At 44.6% G+C, this 22,575-nt stretch overlaps 1 pseudogene; it reads right to left on the reverse strand.

Moving 5' to 3' along the window:
* LOC100420336 (ferritin, heavy polypeptide 1 pseudogene) lies at positions 20,375–20,880 on the reverse strand (annotated as a pseudogene).

Genomic DNA, 22,575 nt, shown 5'->3' on the forward strand with positions numbered 1-22,575 from the left:
ATTCTCAGTAAACTATTGCAAGAACAAAAAACCAAACACCACATATTCTCACTCATAGGTGGGAATTGAACAATGAGATCACATGGACACAGGAAGGTGAACATCACACTCTGGGGACTGTTGTGGGGTGGGGGAGGGGGGAGGGATAGCATTGGGAGATATACCTAATGCTAGATGACGAGTTAGTGGGTGCAGAGCACCAGCATGGCACATGTATACATATGTAACTAACCTGCACAATGTGCACATGTACCCTAAAACTTAAAGTATAATAATTAAAAAATAATAATAAATGAGATCACGCTCTCTGTGCACAAAATGCTCTCAAAAAATAAATAAATAAATAAATAAAGAGTTGAAAACAGCAGATACCCTAAGGAGCCAGATGATACCATAAATGAGTGAAGCAGGCTAGATGTAGGTGCACATTCAGACCCTAGTGGGTGGTTGGGTTCATCCAGAGACCAGAGCCTGTGTCCCAGTTAGCAGGGGCAGTCCTCACGCAGCTCCACACACTCAGCTCTAGCCAACTTTTGCCACGTGGAAAGGCAGACTAATCTTGCTTCATCTTCCAAATTTTCTAGGGCCTGGAAACCTGAATTTTTGAGTAATATCTCAAGATTGTTTTCATGTTTCCTATCTAGTTTGCAAATAGGCATTAGTCCCACTCTATCTTCTCCTTCCCAGCTCCTAGGGGAGTCAAACATGGGCCACCAACAGGCAGAGCATTAAGGAAGGAGGGAGAGCCAGGCCCATGTTCCTGAGGGGACATGTCTTTTCTCAATTGGGGTCATTGTCGTAATCTGGGCTTGAGTTGCAGGTGCTGGCTTGGTACAGTGCTTTCTTACATTACCTAATATTTTGCGGCTCACACATGTAAACTTGGGAACAGGATTTACCTTATGTTGTATGTGTTTCCTATGATTATTTCTATAAGCATTGTATTTTGAGGACATGATTCCAGACGAAAAAGAAAATTTATGATTCCTTGAAACGCGATAAGACTGCCAAAAATGCATGGAATCAGTTATGGAAGTTTCAAAACTTAAGTCATGGATCTACTTGTGCTGTGATGGTATAAACATTGCAAATTTTTCATCAAGATGGAAAATAAATGCAAAATTTTTAGGAAGGCGGCCCAGTGATTCTTAACCATCAGCCTCACTCTCTACATCTGGATCCTTCTCCCTCTCTTATCTCCTGTGGTTCAAGCCCTATTCAAGCCCTAGGGAAGGAGCTTCTCTTTTTTATCTTTTATTTATTTATTTTTTTGAGACAGAGTCTGGCTCTGTCGCCCAGGCTAGAGTACAGTGGTGCGATCTCGATCTCAGCTCACTGCAACCTCCACCTCCTGGGTTCAAGCATTTCTCCTGCCTCAGCCTCCTGAGTAGCTGAGATTACAGGTGCCTGCCACCAGGCCCGGTTAATTTTTGTATTTTTAGTAGAGACGGGGTTTCACCATGTTGGCCAGGCTGGTCTCGAACTCCGGATCTTAGGTGATCTGCCCAGCTCGTCCTCCCAAAGTGCTGGGATTACAGGCATGAGCCACCGTGCACTGCAGGGAGGGAGCTTCTAAGCTAGAAGCCAGGTGCAAAGGAAAGATGGGCAACTTTGGAGTCACACCAACTGCTGTGGTAGATGGCTTAATTCTTCTTAAATGATCCATGAAGGAGGAGTGTATGTCCCCACTCCACTGACTTTTTGCTTTGCTACGTTACTACCTTTGGCCAATGGAACGTGAGTGGACTTGATATACACCGTGTCTGAGCAGAAGCTTTAAATGCATGTTCTGTGTCTGCCTCTAGTTCTTCCCCTCTTCTCTGAGAATGGACATATTCTACATAGCAGATGCTTCTTCTACCTGGGTCCTAGAATGAGAAGTTACATGGTGTAGAGCCACATGCCACATGAGGACAAAGTAAAGGCATGTTGCTTTAAGCTTTGAGATTTGGGAGTTGTTTATTATACTTCAAAGCTGACTAATATACCTGGATTTGTCGCTCCTGGGCTGTGTGATAGTCAGAAAGTTGCTTCATTTATTTAATTCCAGCATTCACTGATGCTTACTATGTGATAAGTTCTGTTTAGACAGTGGTGATCAAAGAGGAATAAGACAGATTCCTGCCCTGGGGGAGCTCTCGGCATAGCGCAGTTGGAGAGACAGTGAGTTAAGGGCTGTGTTAGGAGCCAGTGCAGGGTCAGAAAGAAGGACTCTTGATTCAGTCAGCGAGATCAGAGAAGATTTCCTAGAAGTCGTTAGCATGGGTACTTCCAGGAAATATCCATGCTAAATCTTGAGGGACAAGCCAGGGGAAAAAAACAAGGGGGAACATTTTTCTTTCATAGGAAATAGCAAGAGCGGAAGCTCAGATGACATTCAAACTGAGGGCTGCTTAGGACAGGGCTGGGACAAGATAGCCCGTGAGATGCTGCTTCCTCTCTCCTCAATTCCATCCATACTCTGAACCTAGCCAAGAAGCTCAGACTCACATCCTAAGTGGCTAGTAGTCACACACAAATGACTGTGAATTGTTTTGCCTTGGGAACTGGCCTAGCAGGGAATTGGCAGCTTTCGCGCTTTCGAGACAAAAGAATTTTGGACGGGCCCTGCTAGCATCATTCCCAGGCACCAGGGCCAGGACATAGAGAGGCTCAAGCCTAGGCCGCTACATCCTCCCCACATCTGACAAAGAATGACCGATTCTGAGTGAATAATTTACTTGTGTTTCCACATCCATCAGACCAAACGAAGAGTTCCCTCAACTGAACAGAATGGATTGCCCGAGTTAATCCCAGAGTCTGTCTGGGGTAAGTGAAGCATGGTAGAAAAGTAATACGGAAGGCTGGCTGCTGGGAAATATATTGAGTCCAAACAGAAAAGAGATGAGAAATGGATAAAATAACAGCCCCGAATAACAAGGTTCTCCGGTGCTAAATCCGGTATTTAACTCCCAAACAGGTTTGAGATATTTAATTACAGTCTTGACCATACCCAGTTACTCTTTCTTTTTATTTTATTTATTTATTTATTTATTTAATTTTGAGACAGTGTCTTGCTCTGTTGCCCAGGCTGGAATGCAGTGGTGCGATCTCAGCTCACTGCAACCTCCACCTCCCGGGTTCAAGCAATTTTTGAACTTCAGCCTTCCAAATAGCTGTGATTACAGGTGCGCACCACCACGCCTGGACAATTTTTTGTGTTTTTAGTAGAAATGGGGTTTTGCCATGTTGGCCAGGCTGGTCTCGAACTCCTGACCTCAAGTCATCCACCCTCCTTGGCCTCCTCACCATGCCTGGCCTTTATTTTTATTTTTAAAGTTATAACTAAGAGCTGCTGGGTTAACCCAGACTCATTTATCTGAATCCTGCCTCTCTCATACTTGACTAACAATGAGTAAGAACACTTGGCTTCCACTAATTAACTCTCTTGACTTCTGAGTATCTGCAATCTACCAGGCACTGTTCTAGGCAATGGGGAGACAACAGTGATGAAGCAGTTTCTACCTCATGAAGCCTACCTTCTTCTAAAGAGTCTTTGCATGTCCTCCTCTGAAGAGGCACTGGCCAACCTGCCCACCAAGGCAGTGTCTCAAAACCTTACTCCTGCCCCAGGCTTCTAGGGCCAAATTCCTTTTGCCAAATTAGCTTCATACATATCCTCTCATTTGATCCTGACAATAACCCTATGAGGTAGCTATTGTTGATCTCATCTCAGAAAGGACACTGAAACTCAGGGGCAAGGGATTTCCTTGGAGTAAGGGGGTAAGAGGCCAGTGAGGGACCAGTACCGCCCTGGACCCCTGGGCTGTACACGTCCTTGCTTGTCTAACTCCTTCTGCTCTGGGCTGGGAGGGAAGCCTATAGGGCTTCCAGCATGCTTCAAGATCCCTTCTTAAATCCTGCCATATGAGACAACATGAACTCTGAGAACATTATGCTAGTGACATAAACCGATCACAGAAGGACAAATGCCACATGATTCCATTTATTTGAGGTATTTAAAATAGTCAAATTCATAGAAGGAAAGTAGAATGGTGGTTGGTTGGTAGGAGCTGGAGGAAGAGGGGAATGGGGAGTTGCTGTTCAACTGGTCTAGTTTCAGGTATACAAAATGAGTAAGTTCTAGAGTTCTCCCATAAAACATTGCACTCATAGTTAACACTACTGCACTTTACTCTTAAAAATTTGTGAAGAGGCTAGATGTCATGTGATCTGTTCTTACAATAAGAATAATAATAAAAGGGTTCCTTCTTTTCTCCTGTGGGCTGGAAATGTGGACCAAGTATCCTGAGTGACTGGGGAGAAGAAGAAAAAGGAGAAGGAGAAAGGAAGGAGGGAGGGCCACCGGATTTTTTCCTGATATGTTGCAGGATGAGGTTACACACTCACTCAATCAACAAGTATTTACTGAACACAGACTCTGTGCGAGGCACTCTTCTAGGCATTGGGAAGCAAAAGCAGATTAGGCAGACAAGATTTAAGCCCTCATAGTTATTAGATTCCAGTAGAAGGGACAACTATACACAAGTAAACAAGCATTCCCCTCTCTCTCTTCAAAAAATTAGTTTAGACTAAGCCAAGGGCTCTGAAGCAAACAGATGGGTATTGTGATAGTACCTTGGGGCCAGGCTGTAGATATTGTGGCCTCTATGAGATGATTGCATTTGAACTGAGACTTGAAGGATCAGAATAAGCCAACCCTGCAGAGGACTTGGGGGACCACCCCAGGCAGAGAGAACAGCAAGCACAAAGGCCTGGAGACTTTGTTGTATTTGAAGAGGAGAAAGGAAACCTGCATGGAAGTGTTATGAATAAGGAGAGTGTTCTAGCAAAGGGTTGGAGAAGTGGGCAGGAGTCAGGTTATTCCAGGCCTTGAATGCCACATAAGCATCTTGGGCTTTATTCTAAGAGCTATGGGAAGCTAATGAAGGATTTGAAGCAGGAGGTTGAAGGATGAAACATGAAACATGAGCTTACCCAGTCTTTCTGCTTTAAAAATGATCACTCCGCCTGATCGATGATCAATGGAGAATAGAATGCAGAGCGCAGGAGAAGAACAAAAAAACAAAAAAAGGACTTTGGAAGCTATTGTGAGAGATGATGATCAGGCTTGTGCTACAGAAGTGGCAGTGGGGGTGAAGGCAGGAGAAAAGATTTGAGATACATTTGGGAGGTGAAACTGATCAGACTAGGCAATGGATTAGACGCGTGAGGTAGAAGAGACAAGGATTTCTTGAACTTCTGAGCAGTTGACTATTTGAAGGTGATATTTTGGTGACATGGAATAGCTAGGGCAAGAACAGATCTAAGCTCCATGAGGAGTGGAAATTAAGAAATATCAATCAAGAAACGTCGACTGGACACCAAAGTGGAGACAGTTGTCTATCTGTACCTGGAGCTCAGAGTACAGGCTTCACAATCAGGCAGTGTGGCATGTCTGGGAGAAACGATAGACACCAAAGTGGCTGGGTTTTGTTAAGAATCCAAGCAAGGGCACTTGTTTAGGGATGGGCGGAGTCAAGAAAGAAGTTTCTTATTTTTTGGCAGATGGTGTCTTTTCTTGAAATAATCGACATCTTCCCACACCTTTGGAAGTTGTTTTCCCCCAGAAGGCGGAGGAATTATGGGAGGCAAGGCTCTGGATCCTCTCTCCTCATTTTCAGGCTGTCCCCAAAATCCAGGAGCTGTAAGACCTCTAGGCCACATAGTGGGAGAAAGGGACATTAGCTAGCAATTACGCCATGTCTTCCCTATGCTCCATCCCTCCGCTACCATTATCAGCTGCTCATGTGTAGGAGGAGCATCCAGTGAGCTCTGGGAACATCGCCCCTGAGATGCATGTGGACACTCACCATCAGGCCCACCTCAGGGAGCAGCACACCACAGCCTAAGGACCGAAGCCGCGTGTTTTTGTAAGTGAAGTGTCTGGTCCGCAACCATGCGCATTCATTTACACTTCGCCTATGACTGCTTTCAAGCCACAACATGAGGGTGGAGTCATTATGGTAGGAACTGTTTGGCCCTCAAAGCTGAAAAGGGGTTACGTGGCAGGAAAAAAGTTTGCCAACTTCTGATCCACCCAGTTAGACCTAGAAGTGTGCCTGGAGCGCTTGTCACTTCCCTTCATTGCTGTTTTGCATCCATGTCATAGACCTACTCCCTGGGCAAAGCTTCTTGTCCTTCTAGCACACTCCGGGTTATAGGAACGACCCTAAGGAAACAACCCCAAACAAGGCATCCTCAGAACAGCCCCACAGCCAGGTGACCTTGAGCCCGGAAGATAGCTTAGGAACTGAAAGACCATCCAGAGTTTAACACTGCTTAACTGCTAAGTCATTTCAGTACCAATCCTTGACCCCAGGAATAAAGACAGTGTCCAGTTCTCTGCCATGATGGTGACCAGGGCACATTCTCATCTCAGTTTCTTCCTCTGTCTTTCTGCTTCTGTTCTTGCTACCTAGTGCACAATCTCTGCCTCATGTTAGTACCCCCACTAGAGAGAGTTTGGTGGTCGTCTTGTGAGATAATATTGTCACTTTGAGTAGAGCTTCCTGGCTAGACCACGTCAGAGGCCACTGGCAAGCCTGTAGCTTCCTGCCGGTTGGCTTAGGTGTTCTGCTGTGGTCCCTCAGCTGGGGTCGCTATGGGGGTAGCTGCACTGACCTGGGTATTGTCTCCTTCAGGCAGGTTGAAACAGTCCTCAGTTCTTCTCATATTCAGAGGTGGAGGTCGGTGAGTCCTGGCTAGACAGTACCTGCCCTGTAAGCCCCAGCATCTGTCCTCAGCTAAATGACTTCACGTGGTCCCCAGTGACCACGTTTCTTACCAGGAACTGAGGTAGAGGTGGCTGATCAGGGAAGTATCTTGCACCCGATTTGCTGGGGAGACTGTGTTCTCTCCCTCCCATACTTTTCCTCCATAGGGCATTGCTCTCTGCAGCATCTTTACCTAACTTGGCTTCTCCACGAAGTTCACAAGTTATTCAGAGAGATCTGTCCTCCCCACTCCCCAAAATCCTGAGCGAGGCATGAAAAATTCAGTCATTTGGCTTATTCAGACTTTCCAGATGTCTGATGTTGGGCAAGAGATGCATGCTGCTGACGGATGGCACATTTTTACCTTCCACCAATGTGTTTGACATTGTGCAGATGTAGGCATGTGGAAAGGAAGACTGATTTGTTTTATTAATGAACAAGTGATGAAATAACACTGGAGAAACTTGATGAGTCACACGTAATCCCACTCTTCTAATACAACAATCATTTCCACTTTTGCATATTTTTTTCTTGTTTTGTTCATCTTAGATACATAGAAATATAATTGCAAACAAAATATTGCCATCACTTGGTAACTGGCTTCTTTCATCATAGGTACCCTCCCTCGTTATCTTTAAAATTATTGATCTTAATGACTTCCTAGTAGGCCTTGGGAAGGGATATACCATTTCCTTAATGTAGTGATTAAGAACATGGTCTTAGGGTTAGCCAGCCTCATTCAAAACCTAATAGCCCTGGGAACTTGGGCAAGTTAATAATTTAATCTCCCTGAGTCTTAGTGTCTACATCTATAAAATGGAATTAATAGTAATAATTCACAGAGATGTCAGGGTTAAAATGAGATATTACACGGTTGACCCTTGAACGGCACAGGTTTGAACTATGGAGATCTACTTAGACTCAGATTTTCTTCCACCTAGCCACCCCTGAGACAGCAAGACAACCCCTTCTTTTTCTTCCTCTTCCTCCTCTTCCTCTTCTTCGTCAGCCTACTCAATGTGAAGACAATGAGCACGAAGACCTTTGTGATAATCCACTTCCACTTAATGAATAGTAAATACACTTTCTCTTCCTTGTGATTGTCCTAATAACGTTTTCTTTTCTCTAGCTTACTTTATTGTAAGAACACAGTAATAATATGTATAACATATAAAATATGTAACAACTGTTTATGTTATTGGCAAGGCTTCTGGTCAACAGTAAGCTGTTAGTAGTTAAGTTTTGGGGGAATCAAAAGTAATACTCAGATTTTTTTACTTCGTGGGGATTCAGTGCACTAACCTCTGCACTGTTTAAGGGTCAACACTATGTAAGTCTGTGTATCAGTGTATGTATCAACTGTTTATCAGCAAAGATAGGCTGTTATGCTGTGGTAACAAACAACCCGCAAGTCTTATTGGCTTAAAAAAAACAAGGTTTTTCCTTCCTTTGGTTACACGCACATCTTGGGTTGACTGGTGGTGGGGAGAGGGTGGGAGTAGGGAGAGGGTGGCAGTGGGGAGAGGGTGGGAATGGGGAGAGAGTGGTGTGATTCTACTCATTGTAGTTGCTTAGGGACTCTGGCTGACAAAGCAAACATGGGTCACTTCTGTTTATAACTCACTTGACAGAATTACATGGCCCCACCCACCAGCAAGGGGGACCAGAAGTACAATTTTACCTTGTGTTCTGGAAAGAGAAAACTAGAACTATTTGATAATTTCCACAGCAAAGAAGTGTGGAACTATATGCTATTATAATTATTTCTACAACATATAAGCAAAATGAAATAATACATGTAAATTTCTTAGCTCGGCTTCTCAGGAATATAGGGAGCACTCAGTAAAGGGCAGACACTAGCATCATTACTATTATTTTCATTACTGTGCTTTTTCAACTTTTTTGCTATTATAGGTAGCACCTTGCCGAACATCCTCATGCAGATGTTTTTGTTTTTTGCTTCTTTTGAATTGTTTCCTAAGGATGAATCCTCACGAGTACTATTAAGTGCCTAAGCTTTGGGGTCAGGAAGAGGAAGACTCCAATTCTTACTTAACAGAAAAAACAAATTTACTGAATGAGGAACCAAGGCCAGAAGTTGTACTTGCCGTGGTTAAAAATTTCTAGTTTATATTTTTAGGTGCTAAGCAGAGGTAATGAATTTTTACTTTTTTATATCAGGCTACACCCCCTACAACTACAGTTCAATTTCAGCTTTGTGACGCTAGTGTAGGCATTACTCTGTGTCCGACTGGTGTGCAATCTTGGCCCTGCTGAATTCTCATTGGTTGAATGCACTTCAGGTGTGTCACCTGGTGCTGTCATTCACAAAAGCTGAAGCGGAGTTGGAGTAACTACATTTGTTATGACAGTAATGGTGTGCACATTTGATACAGCATGTGGTGTCATGGTCTAGATTCAGACCCAGAGTCTAGCCTGAGGCCCCAGGTTAGAACTTGTGTAGTTTTCCCTCCAATAGCTTTGCTTCTGGCTTTGGACAGGGTACTTCAGTTTCATGTCTTCATTTATTCCTTGATAAAATAGATACAGTAATATCTTGGCATCCAATAGGTATAACACAAACTTGTTATCTCTTCTCTTGCACAGAGGCAAAATATCCTTATGGCTTTTGCTAAGCACAGTCATATTGGAAAGAGAATGTTTGTGGATTTGTCTATGAAATATTTAGATCAGTGGTTCGCATCTCTCAATGTGTATCAGAGTCACCCAGGGGAACTTAAAAACACTGAAGTCTGAATCCCACCCTGAGGATTCTGCTTTAATTGGGCTGGAGTGTAGCCTGGCCATTGGGATTTTTAAAAGCTCCCCAGGTGATTCTAATATTCAGCAAAGTTTGAGAGCTGTTGACTAAACCGGTGGTACTGAAACCTGAGCGTGTTGCAGAATTCCCTGGAGGGCTTGTTAAAACCCAGCATGCTGGAACCCACCTCGAGTTTCTGAATCAGCGTTCAGTAGTTGTGGGGTGGAGCCTGCTAGCAAATTGCATTCCTGACAAGTTCCCTGGTGGTGCTACTGTCGCTAGTGCAGGATCCACACGCTGAGAGCCACTGACGGATGGCACCACTCACTCTGGCACCATTCACTCTCTGTGCATCCTGCCTCCCGGGAAGGGTTTTGCAAGGCGGAAATGGGAGCAAGCCTTGTGGAGGCAGGAGGATGCATAGAATGTCCTCTCAGGATCCTCCTCAGACCTGAGAACTGCGGAGCTCTTTCCTGAGATGCTGTCACTGTCGGCAGAGTCTCAGAAGTACAGCTTGCTCCATAGCTCCTTTTTTTAAGAAGCTGGCAGCCAGCTGAAGCACTCAGATGGGGCTCGGCTCGGATCGGCTCAGCGAGCCTGTGCCACCAGCCCTCCTGTGAACTGCAGACATCAGTCTCCCTCCTTCCATTACCTCCATTAGCACGGTTATTTGTGGCAATTCCTCTTCCTGGCTGCTTGGGATACAAAGTGCTGACTGCGAAGCTACACATGATGTCTGAAACTTCCAGGACAGAAGGAGGGATCTGATGGTCTCTGACCCAGGTGACCAGAGCAGCACCAGGCAGGGGTGGGGGACCATGATGTAGTAGCAGCTGGGGAGGGGGAGGGTGTGGGTAGAAGAGGAGGCTGGCCAGAGTCACTCTGGACCAAAATATCCAAATGAAGCCAACTGGCCTTAAGATACCTGAGCAATTTGAGGACAAAGCAGGAATTTTTTTTTCTCTATTATTATCCGGATAAATGTGGTTATGAGGAGGTGGTGTGTGTAGGGGGTGGGGAACTGTGGGGAAAGGATAGGGATAGAAATATAATATTTTTGCATATCATCTGAATGACTGGCGTGTACATTCTGTGGCATGGAAAGGGGATAATTTAATCATCCTGAGTTTACAGAGGGAAACGCTCAGTCCTACAGACCTTCTGCTTCGGCAGATAAAAGCTTCTCAGAATTAACAACAACAAAAGCAATGGTAATAGCTAACACGATGTAGCACTGACTCGGTGCCAGGCACTGTGCGAAGCGCATCATTTACATTAACTCATTTCATCCTCACATCAACCCTGTGAGGTAGGGATATTATTATTCCCATTGTATAGTCGAGTAAAGCGAGGCTTAGAGTAGTTCAGTGACTTACTCAAGGTCACACAGCTAATAAGGATTTGAACTCAGTCACTTTGGTACCAGAGGCCATGTTTTTAGTCCTGGAGGGGCTGATTGTGAGAGATTCTGGCACCGGCATGGAACCTGAGTTCATTCCACATCTGTGGTTAGGTTCTGTGGGTTGGGAGCAGGGGCATGGCTGCTTCCCAGTCCAGTCATTATGAGGACAAGTGTGTTGCCTGAATATCAGTCTCTCTAGGGTTGTTTCTCTCGCTGAAGTCTCCTCATCCAAAGTGATTCCTGGTCTACTTTAGGCAGGAGAGCAGACCTTCTGCACAAGAAGGCAGAGTTAACTTCACGATCCTCCCTTTTTGAGTCCAGTCTCTCCACCCTCTGGATGCCCTCATGATGCCCTAAGCTCCCCCATCACTAAATCTATCTATACATGCCTCTCTCCCTCCTTTCCAGTCCTACAGGAGGTATCCCATAGCCACCCTCAAATAAATCTAATGGACATATCACTAAAGGGAGAAAATGGTACATTGTAGTTGCAGTTTCCCCAAACATCCAACCGTCTCAAGCACAAACTCATTCTCCCTTCTGCTCATCACTCTTTCCTTCTCTCTTCTCACTAATCATCACCTGGGGGATACACGAAAAAAAACAAGTGGACCAAGAGTTGGTCAAGCCAAAGTTTGGTCCAACTCTGACATTTACTAACTATGAAATTGTCCACAAATCCCACAGTATTGTTAGTGGTTATGAGCAATGATCTATGGCATCAGGCAGACTTGGGCTCAAATCCTAGCACTGCCATTTTTGGACCTAAGGCAAGTGACTGTATCTGTTCCCTTATGTGTAAATGGGGAAAATCATTCTGATCCAGTAGGTTACTGAGAGAACCAAATGACTACAAGCCAGGAAAATGCTCAGCACAATATCTGGCACAGAGTACAAGAATTCAATTAATGGTAATTAGGATAGCTGTTATTATGATTGCTCTCCTCTCTGACTCAGTTTCCTTGGGGGTTGGACTGCTTGACTTCCGAGGGCCCTCCCAGCTCCAGCATCCTCTGACTCATTGGCATCCTTCTTGTTTCAGGTTTTTTATTAGATTTCCACGACTGACTCATCTTTCTCCATCTCTCTCCTTATCATCACCCTCCATGAAAAATGCACCCTCCTTCCCTTTGTATTCAGGCCATTGCCCCATCATCTCTGCCCTGGGGGGTCGAATAATCCAAGCCAGCCAGACCCCTGCATGCCACTGCCACTTGGAGTCAGATTCCATTGGATTTATGAGGCACCACAGGAGTAGGTAGTCGATATGAATAACCATTACGTTGGGGAGGGCTTTTTCTTCTCCCTCTGACTGATGACAGCTAAATTACTGCTAAATATAGGCCCTGAATTTGCATGAATCTGCAGCTTGCCACAGCCAGGCTGGGGGTTTTATTGACAGCTGAGGCACTGGAGGCAGGCAGGCACCTGCTCCAGTACACCTCTTCCAGAGGAAGCATGGAGTCAGGGAGAGTGCACCCCTCCCTCACCCCTCTCCAAGAGATGCTCTCTTCTCTCCAAGCCTCCAGCCTTGTTGGTTCCAAGAAAAGAGCTTAGGCATGGGTTTGAATCCCAGATCTTCCATCTAGCTGTGTGATCCTAAGCAAATTACTTAACCACTCCCTATCCGTTCCCCTGCCTCCGTTTCCCCATTGCTACAACGGGGCTAATAATAGCTCACTGTTATCTCACATAAAGTTCTGACATAGGCTCCTCCAAGTTTCTATCTTGTCATACATATATATATATATATATATATTTTGTCCTTGGGTTATGGCTTCAAAATCCCAAAATGGCAGCTTCAGGCATCAAATCATATTGCAATCAAATTCAAGGAAGGAAAAAGGAGGCAGCTTTCTATGTCACCTCCCTTTTTATCAAAGAGCATAATTTTGCATAGAAACAACAAGGAGACTTCCCCTTTATAGCTCATAGAAATAACAACAGTAGCATTTATTGAGTACTTACTACATGACAGGCACCTTTTTATATACTTTCCATGCGTTAACTTAATACAGCAATCCCAAGAAAGAGGTGCCATTTCTAAGATGGAGAGAGGTTAAAACAACTTGCTCAAAGCTACTCAACAGGTAACTGTCAGAGCTGAGATTTGGACCCAGAAAGCTTGGCTATAGAGCTCAGGTTCTGTAACTGGAATTTAAATGACAGTTGTATGTTCACTTGTTCAGCCTTAGAGCATGACTGGTAAAAGATGAGACCCCAGGGCTGGCGAAGTGACCTACTTTCCCGAGCACATTAGACTTAGCTAATAAGAAAATCAATTGGGGGTCTATAAACTAAGGCAGAAGGGGGAATGGTTTGGGGTGGAAACCAGAGTTGTCTACCCCGCTACTTCCCACGTTGCTAGAGGGTGAAAAGACAGAAAGTCCATCTTCATCTGTTTAGGTTGCATGAAAAAATACCAAAGATTGAGTGGCTTACACAACAGAAATTAATTTATTAAGGGCTGGGAAGTCCAAGATCAAGATGTTATCAGGGTAGGTTTCATTCAAAGACCTCTTCTTTTGGCCGGTAGATGGGCAGCATCTAGCAATGGGATTACATGACCACTTCTTTGTGTGGGGAGGAGAGAAGGAGAGAGACACTCTCTGGTGTCTCTTCTTATAAGGATACCAATGCTATCATAGGGCCTTCACCCTGATGACCTTATCTAAACCTAAGTACCTCCCAAGGGCCCCATCTCCAAATACTGTCACATTGGGGGTTAGGGCTTCCACATATGAATTTGGGAGAGGGTCACAATTAGGTCATAGCAAACTCTAAGTGCCTTTTTCAAAGTAGATGTTCAGTAAATGAAAGTTCCCCTCTCTTCCTACAATTATTGATTCAATTCGTTATTTGGACATGTAGAACAAGATGAACCTTAAGACTCTACAACCTAGTTGGAGAGAGAAGACAAGAAACAGTTAACTCGTGACTCACCATGGCATTTGTTTAAGGGCCAAATGCCTGGGCTTATTCAGAGATTACCAGATGGGACTTCTCCTGTCAATCATGATGGCCAATTTGCTGAACTTACAGATCTACTCTGGACTGAAATACAACAGATCCCAGTTACCTTAGAGACAGGCTTTTGGACCTCTTGGGTTAGACCATTTGAGGATAAAAAAATCTCAGTTGGCAGGACCCGTTTTGGAGAAAGATTATTTTCTGTGGCTGGGGAGAGCTGGACTAAACGTGGATGAGACTCAGGCTTAAAGCCTGTGACATCATCGGAAGATACTAAGGGAGACATCATAGTAAGAAAGAAGCAAAGCACATGGTATCAGGTTCAGCCAGCCTGCCTACAGTGTCTCACTGGGCAGAGCTATGAGTGGGCTGACATTTCAGTGAGAAGTGGGCAGAGAGATAACACCATTGCAGAGTTTGGGGAAAATATCAACCAAGGAGAAGCATTGGCATTAGAAATCAAGGGCTTAGAATCAAGGGCATTAGAAATCAAGGTACCAGCTGCCACATGTATTATGCCAGAGTGAAGGTGGAAATGTGTACCTGTTGCATGGAGTTAATGCAGCCATCTGAGGAAGAAAGCCAGAGAGACAGCCAACCAGAGCTGAGTCCAGGTCCTCCTCAAGGAGTGTGGTTGGTGTGGTTATCGAAATGTCATATGAAAGGCCATAAAATGAGATGCTCCTGTGATGTCACTGGAGGAGCCAAGTCAGGACAGGTGACAAGGGGGCAGGGATGTTCAATGACGCAGCTTCCAAACTGACCTGGGTCTAAATTCCATCTCTACCATTACTAACTGGTGATCTCGGACAATTACTGAAATTCTTCAGATTTCTCACTCTCTCTCTCTCTCACTCTCTCTCTCTCTCTCTCTCTCTCTCTCTGTACTTTACTCCTGAAGACAATGATGGTCCTTGAGGATAACAGAAAATGTGTATGCAAAGTGACCAGAAGTGTCTGATGCACAGTAGCAGGGAGATTGTGAGCGCTATCTTTTTTAAGTTCATGGAAAAGTGGATAGAGACAGGCTGCCTCTGTCCTATGGGCCTTCCTGCCAACCAGAGCAGGTACCCAAGGCTTTGGGTATGAAAGACCAGAGTTGGGAAAAATGTCACCCTGGGAGAAGCTCTTTGAACCTCTCCTTGATGGAAGATGAATCAATGGTCAGCTTCATTTCTGAAATGAGGCAAGTCCTCTAATCCCAACTTTTCATCTCATTTTCAGCATCTCCAAGGCCTCCTCATGGAGGTCCAAGCCCCTTTGTTTTCCAGGATTAACCCAGAGAGAGGCTTGCTTTGAGGCCCTATTCCCACTCCCTAGATGACCTGGATTGGCCATGGGGCTTGGATTCTAGTTGTCTTTTTGAGGGTTCTTGGCAGTGCTCACCCATTCAAAGTTCCATCCCCTGGGCACTCGTGGTCTGTGGCCAGCCCTAACCTCCCTCAGAGCTTAATAGCAAGAGGTTTTTGTCCTGGAAACAGCAACGGGTTAGAATAGTCTTGACTGCTCTTTGCAGAACAAAAGCAGAGAAATCCTTGTTGGAGACTGGGGTGGCTGCCTGGCGTTTTCCTCACCAGATCCCTTGTCCATGTCATGTTTTCTACCCACAGCTTCCCACATCTAATCCTCCAAGGTGCTCAGGGTACCCTGTTTTCTGCCTGGGTCCTCAGCTTGGCCACTCTTCTCACCCCTAAATGGGCTCAGTTTTGTCTCCCTCCTGGAATGCCAGAAAAGACCTGGCTCTCGGTCTAACTCTTCCCCCAGTCATTACTCTGCACTTCAGAAATATCCTTCTCTGCTCAACCTGCCAGCAGCACTGATTCCTCTCGGACCATGAACTGATGGAGTAGGTCTGCCTCTGCCCTCTTAGAGCTTGGAATCTGTCACCATGGCTGGCTTCCCTTGACACTTGTTCTGTTTGCAGTTGCCCTGCATCCCTGCTAGCTCCATCCTCATGTCCCTGTATGTGTCTGCCATCTCCCAGAATGGCTGGCAGCTAGCCAGTCTCTGCTCAGCTGTGCAGGCATGGGAGCTCATAATTTGGAAGCATGAACTTTAGGATATCATCTCTCATTCCCCTGCACACTTTAAATTTGGATATAAAATATTGTATAGGTGTGCATGTCCAACGCTTTCTTCAAGTGGTCCTCGACCTACAAGAATGTTACAATCCTGCGGATGACAGTCCTCAATACTCGTGATCATACATTCACCTTTATGGTCAAAGGCAGGCCTGTGTCTTGTTCACCTTTGTATCAGTTGTTCTTAGCCCAGTGTCTGACACATCATAGGCTTAGCCCAGTGTCTGACACTCATTAAATATTCATTGGGTGAATAAATGATCAATGAATGAATGGACTAAGAGATGGTACATCCTGAATCTAGTGGGGAAGGAAAGAACTTCCTTTCCAAGGCCCCTGGAAGACAAACATGCACCTTTGCACAGACATTGCCAGTAACAGGAAGGTCCTTTGTAAGACAACTTGTTACACTGTTTTTTCTATATACAGCTGAGTTCTGTCCTTCTTCAACTTCTACCCTCTGGCTCAAGCTTTGGCCTGGGAGGCTGCCTGGGATTCACTGCACCTCTTGGGCCCTTCAAAGGGCCACCTACATCAGAGGTTCAGGCATCACCTTCTCAGCATCTGCCAACACAAATGCCATTGCTGTCCCCAGTCAGATACACCCAAGACAAGTTGCGGAGTAGCCCTCACTCTCTGGGAAGCGTCATCCTTAGACAGATCAACTCATTGCAAGTTTCTGTTTCCAGAGTGGACCATAATTCTCTTGACAGAACAAAGAGTATCAGAACAAAAGAGCCTTACAGCTGATATAAACAGATCCCCTTAATTTACGGACGAGAAGACTGAGGCCCAGAGAGGGAAAAGGTGCTCTGCAGGTCATGTGTCTGGAAGTGGAGCCCAACTCCTCTGGCTCCCAGCTGGGTGCCCCTCTCGCTGTGCTCTATGGCCTCCTTCCTGCAGTTCTCAGCATGACACTCGGGGGTGACTAAAGTCCTGCACCTCCTGATAGGCTCCACGTATGTGTCCCTTTGGAGCATCAGATTTTCTGACAGTGGCTCGGGGTCCTCCCTGCTTTGCTGAAGTGTAGAAGGGCCTGGAGGTCAACCCTGAACCCTCAGTGTGTGGGATTTGGGTTGGCAGTTTGTCAGGTGTGCCAATTCCTCATGTAGTTTGGGGTAGTGTTTAAGAGTATGGCCCCTGGAGCCAGGCTGTCTATGGTTCAAATCCTGGTTCTGCCACTTCCTAGCTGTGTGACCTTGGGCAGATTTCTTGTCTTTGCCTCAGCTTCATAATCTATAAAATGAGATAAAATAATATTTAAATCATAGGGCTGCTTGAGGTGCAAATGAAGGCAAAGTGTTTAACTCAAAGCTAGGTAAGTCTTAGCTCTTGTGACTGCTGGCTTCCATCCTGATTTCCCTACACTGGCTGGAGCCAGCTCACCTGGACCAACAACCACCCCTGGGGCAGCCCTAGCCCAGGTAACCTTCTGTGCTACGAGACATTGTACCTGCCGTACGTGAAGCAGAGCTCAGCAGGATTCCCTGTTTCTGAAGACACCTGGTTTCCTATGATGCTTCTAACAAACCCATCTGAGGAGGCTTCTGGTGCTGGGCAGTGTAGCATAGTGGTTAGAGTCAAAATGGGCTCTGAGCCTGATTCCCTAGGTTCCCATCTCAGCTCCACCACTTTCTAGATGTAAAGTTGCCTTGTCTTTCTTTGACTCAGTTTCTTTATGAGCAAAGGAGGGATGATAGTACCTGCCCTGGGCACTGCGTGAAAATTAAATAACACTTATAAAGGACGATGTTTGATGTTCAGTATATCATTGTTAGTAGTGATGTTAGTTTATATTTATTTAGCACTCAGTGTGTGCCAGGCACAGTTTCAAGTGCTTTTAAATATATTAATTCACTTAATCTTCACAATAACCCTATGAAATAGATTCAAGTTTTATCCTCTGTTGTCAGTGAAAAAAACTAAGGCTTGGAGAAGTTGAGCAACTTGTCTGTGATTAAGGTTTGCAGCCTGATGCTCATACACTTATTTACATCCAGCACTGTGGGATTGTCACACACAATAGCAGTGGGATTGTCACACATAATAGCAGTGGCTGCAGAATCTTTTGGATTGGTATTAGAATTTGTGATGTATTTCAAGCAGGTATGAGACTGCCTGGAGCCATCTTTCTTCAGAAAGACTGAGCCAGCACTGGAGATACAGATCAGCATGGAGAAAGAGTGAGAGAGAAAGTAACCTCTGGCAGAGAGAGACTGCTAAATTTACCAGGCACTAACCATTGACCACGCGCCCATGCTTGCAGCCCAGAGGCAAAACAGCTGCTGATACCTCTCCTAGTGAGCACCTGGGCAGAAGGAATCTGATATCGAGACCTGGAGAGGTTTAATTATAACTGTGGCCTAAATTGATGTTGGTGGAAGGAGTGCAGGGCCCAAGATAGAAGAATGTAGATGGAGTCTTGGGTACTGTGGCATAGCCTTGGCTCCCCTAGTCTAGGCTCTGACCCATGGGACCCACATGTGGGGTTATCAGCATTCACAACCAATCTCAGATCTTCTGGCCTTTCCTAAAATGAAGTCAATCCATCTTTCTAACCCTTGGCTTTCTGGGAGCTTGGCCAACCATGATCTATATGCTGACTGCTAAACTCACTCTGAGCAGCTCAGAAAACTGCCAGACCACCCTGTGTATGTCTAAGCAAGACATGGAGCAAGGAAGCAGGTCCTGTCCTTCTCTATTACTGCCAATCCTATGAGACTACCACTATACCCGGCACACAGTAGGTATCAAGGTACGAGCATACCCAGCACCCAGTAGGTATCAAGGTACAAACATGCCCAGCATACAGTAGATGTCAAGGCTACCACTATACACAACACATAGTAGGTATCAAGGTACCAACATGCCCAGCACACAGTAGGTGTCAAGGCTACCACTATACCCAGCACACAGTAGGTATCAAGGTACCAACATGCCCAGCATACAGTAGATGTCAAGGCTACCACTATACACAACACACAGTAGATATCGAGGTACCAGCATGCCCAGCACACAGTAGGTGTCAAGGTTACCACCATGTCCAGCATAAAATAGATATTCAATAAATATGTTACTACTGTTGTAGGGTAGATTTATTCCGGGGAAGGTGCCGAACAGGAGGTCAGATAGGCAGGAAGAAAAATATAATCCTGGCTTCAGACAGTATTCAACAACAAGTGGTTCATGAGGAAGTGGTGCTGGTGGTAGTGGAGGGGTGTCCTTCTCTGTCAGCCAGGTATAGAATCACAACTCCAAGAGAGTGCTCAAAACCCTCAGCACACTCCACCCTATAGTCCAGGCATATAGCATTTGGCACTCACAGGCCCTGCTTAGTTCCCCAGTCAGCAAGTGCTCAGGATTGAAGTGCTCTGAACTCCAGGCAATCAGTGCTCTGTACTCCAGATAGATGGCCATCCACACTCCAGGCAGAGCACAGGACTCCTGGAAGCCATGTCTGATACTCCAGGCATGGTTCTCAATACTCCATTAAACGGTGCTCATGAAGGAGGTACAACTCAGGACTGCAGGAGATGGCACTGGATATTCCACACAGACTGCTCCACACCTCAGGGGCATTGCTGATTGGTAAGGAAGACACACATAATGGGAATGGGTTTCTGGCCTGAGTGTGTGAGTCCATAGGCAGCTGTCAGGAGCCTGGCCAGAACAGAGAACCCCTATCCCAACCTTGGTGGGGGCCTAGTCAGTCAAGCAGATTTTGGAGGACAACCCTAAACAAGAACCCAGATCTATGCTTGGGCCACTGGGCTGGGAGAAGGGCTATACCTGAAGACCCTCACATTTCAGATAATGGATCTTCCCTCCTTTGAGTTACGGTGGGATTCGTCTGCAGTGAGATGGACAGATCCTGTTACTGTACACCTTTTGCACTGATGATTTTTCTTCTAGAAATATTCTAGGTACATGTGATCCTTTCAATGCATCAGTGATGGAACATTCAGTGCCTCGCTTTTTTAAAAAATAATATATCTTGGATATGTCTATATCATCTGTCTCATCTTTTTTCACGGCTGCCTAATTTTCCATTGTATGATGTCCTATAATTTATCTAACTAGTTTTCCATTGATTGACATTTAAATTACTTTTCATTTTCTACTATTGCTACAAATCCTGTAATTATATGTGTCTTTGGCACAAGCATGAGCATATCTGAAAGATAAGTTCCTAGAAGACAGATTGCCAGGTTAAAATGTATGTGCTGTTTTAATATTTCTTTGACAGAGGTCACAAGATTTCCTTATGGCAAGAATGGTGGGCATATACAAAGAAGATGTGGGGGATGTTTTGACACAGCTTTTGGAAAAGTTACAGATATCTACAGGATGCATGTGCTGCCTCAGGAAGCTACCTCATGATTTTGAGGAAGCCAGCCTGGGCTTAGCTCTCACATGCACTGTCTCCTAGGACACACTTGTCTAAAAGCTATGCCACCATGCCATACTCCTGGGACCCTATCTTCCTTAAGTTGGCTTCATGGCCACTCTATTCTTTGATGGATTACTTGTACTCATTCAGGTAATGGGTCTCAGAGAATTCTCAAAGCAGAGGTCATTTGTGTTGGCAGCCAGTGTGCACAATTTTAATAATGACCAACTCACACTCTCACTCAAGTGGAACGCAGACTTCACTACATTCAGCCACCTCCCATTTGCGATGGGCTACTTTCTTGGTGTTCTGAAGGAAGATTGGCTACCCCGTAGGTTCTGCAGCTTCACTGGGGTCTCAGTATGTTCTTTCTCTTAATGGGATTTGAGAAGACATTTGGCAGAGTTATTCACAGCCATGTCATCTCAAACAAAGTGGTAGGCCATGGAGAGTTGATGCAGGAGACACATGGCTCCAGGGTGATCTGGGGTTGAGGGAGGTCTCTGGCGCTGGAGGTAGTTCATGGGGTATACAGGACCCTGATAGGTGGCTGAGGAGAGGTGGACTTGAGGCTCTAGGGGGTTGACAAGGGCAAGCACTGGTTCAGCCTAAGCACTACTGAAGCAGGAACTGTATCCACTGAGCATCTGGTCCACTCTTTCCATTTTGACAAATATCACCAAATTCCCCAGCAAAGGGCCTGCACCAATTTATGGTTCCATGAACAATAGGCAAGTGTGTCTTTCTCTACCCCTGTGCTACCACTGTACTATGTCTTATGAAATTTTTGGATTTTGCCAGTCTAATAGCTGAAAATCATGTCTCATTTAAAATGTGCATTTCTTTAATTACAAAAGTAAGTTTAGGTCAAAGGATACATAATTACAGTTAGATAGGAGGAATAAATTTCAAGAGTTCTATTGTACAGCAAGGTGACTATAGTTAATAAAATATATTCTTGAAAAAGTTTTAAAAAGTGGATGTTAAGTGCTCTCACCACAAAATGATAACTATGAGGTGATGCATTTGCTAATTAGATAGATTTAACCATTTCACAATGTGTATATACTTCAAAACATCATGTTATACATGATAAAGGCATGCAATGCTGTCAATTTTAAAAAATGATGAAAAATATATTAGTAGCCATTTGCAAGTCTTTTTCTCTGAGTTGTCAGGTTGTAATTTTTGTTTGTTTTTTGCTCATTTATTTTTCCTGATAGATTATTTTTCATTTTCTTATCAATCTATAAGAGCTTTTAATATATTAAGTAAACCAGACCTTTGTCATATGTGGTGCAGATTTTTTTTCCCAGTTTGTTAGTTGACTTTTGAGTTCATTTACTGTAATTTTTGAAGTTTAGAACATTCAATTTTTCTACTGAAATGAATCAATTCTTTACTTTTTCAGTTTAAGGTTTACGTCTTGTTTAGAAAGGCTGTCTCTGCTCCATAGCCATAAAAAAAATTCTTCCATGTTTCTTTCTAGTACTTTTATGGGCTTATTTTTTATGTTTAAATCCTTGCTCCATCTGGAATTTGCTTTGGTGTGAGAAGCGAAGACCAGATTCAGATTTACTTTTTTCCAGATGGCAAGGCGGTTGTCTCAACACCCCTTCTTGAATAATCCTTTTTGCCTAACTGATGCGAAATACCATATAATTCATATACTAAATTCCTGTGTGTTCTTGGATTTCTATCTGAATTCTCTTTTCCTTTACCAGCTTGTTCTAGTACCAAACAGTTTTAAGTATTGCTAATTTTTATTATTTTTATATATCTGGCAAGGGTTGTTATTTTCCTTTACCCACTTTTTTTTAAATTTTAGAATTTTCCTGGCTAGCATCACATGGTTATTTTTCCAAGTAGACTCTAAATCATCTCAACTGTTTCTCCTCACCCCCCAGATCCCACAGGTGTGTTCATTGGGGTTGCATGGGCTCATGAGCATCTTTCTTTCCCAGAGAGAGACAGCAGAGTCTCTTTGGGCCAAAGGGCTCTTCAGATAGAGGTCTGTATTCAAGCTTGGAAAACAGCATAGACAGCTCAACTTCTTGGCGAGGTCCCTCACCTTTCCCTGAATCTGATCTTCTATGGTGCTGTAGGGGAAAGAGTTTAGTAAAGTTTGGGACACCTTGGGCTTAAACAAAGTTCAACATTTTTTTCTTGATCATTCATTCAGCAGGTATCAATGGGCCCTCGCCATGCACCAAGGG

The sequence above is a fragment of the Homo sapiens genome, chromosome 1 (assembly GCF_000001405.40).
Source record: "Homo sapiens chromosome 1, GRCh38.p14 Primary Assembly".
Classification (NCBI taxonomy): domain Eukaryota; kingdom Metazoa; phylum Chordata; class Mammalia; order Primates; family Hominidae; genus Homo; species Homo sapiens.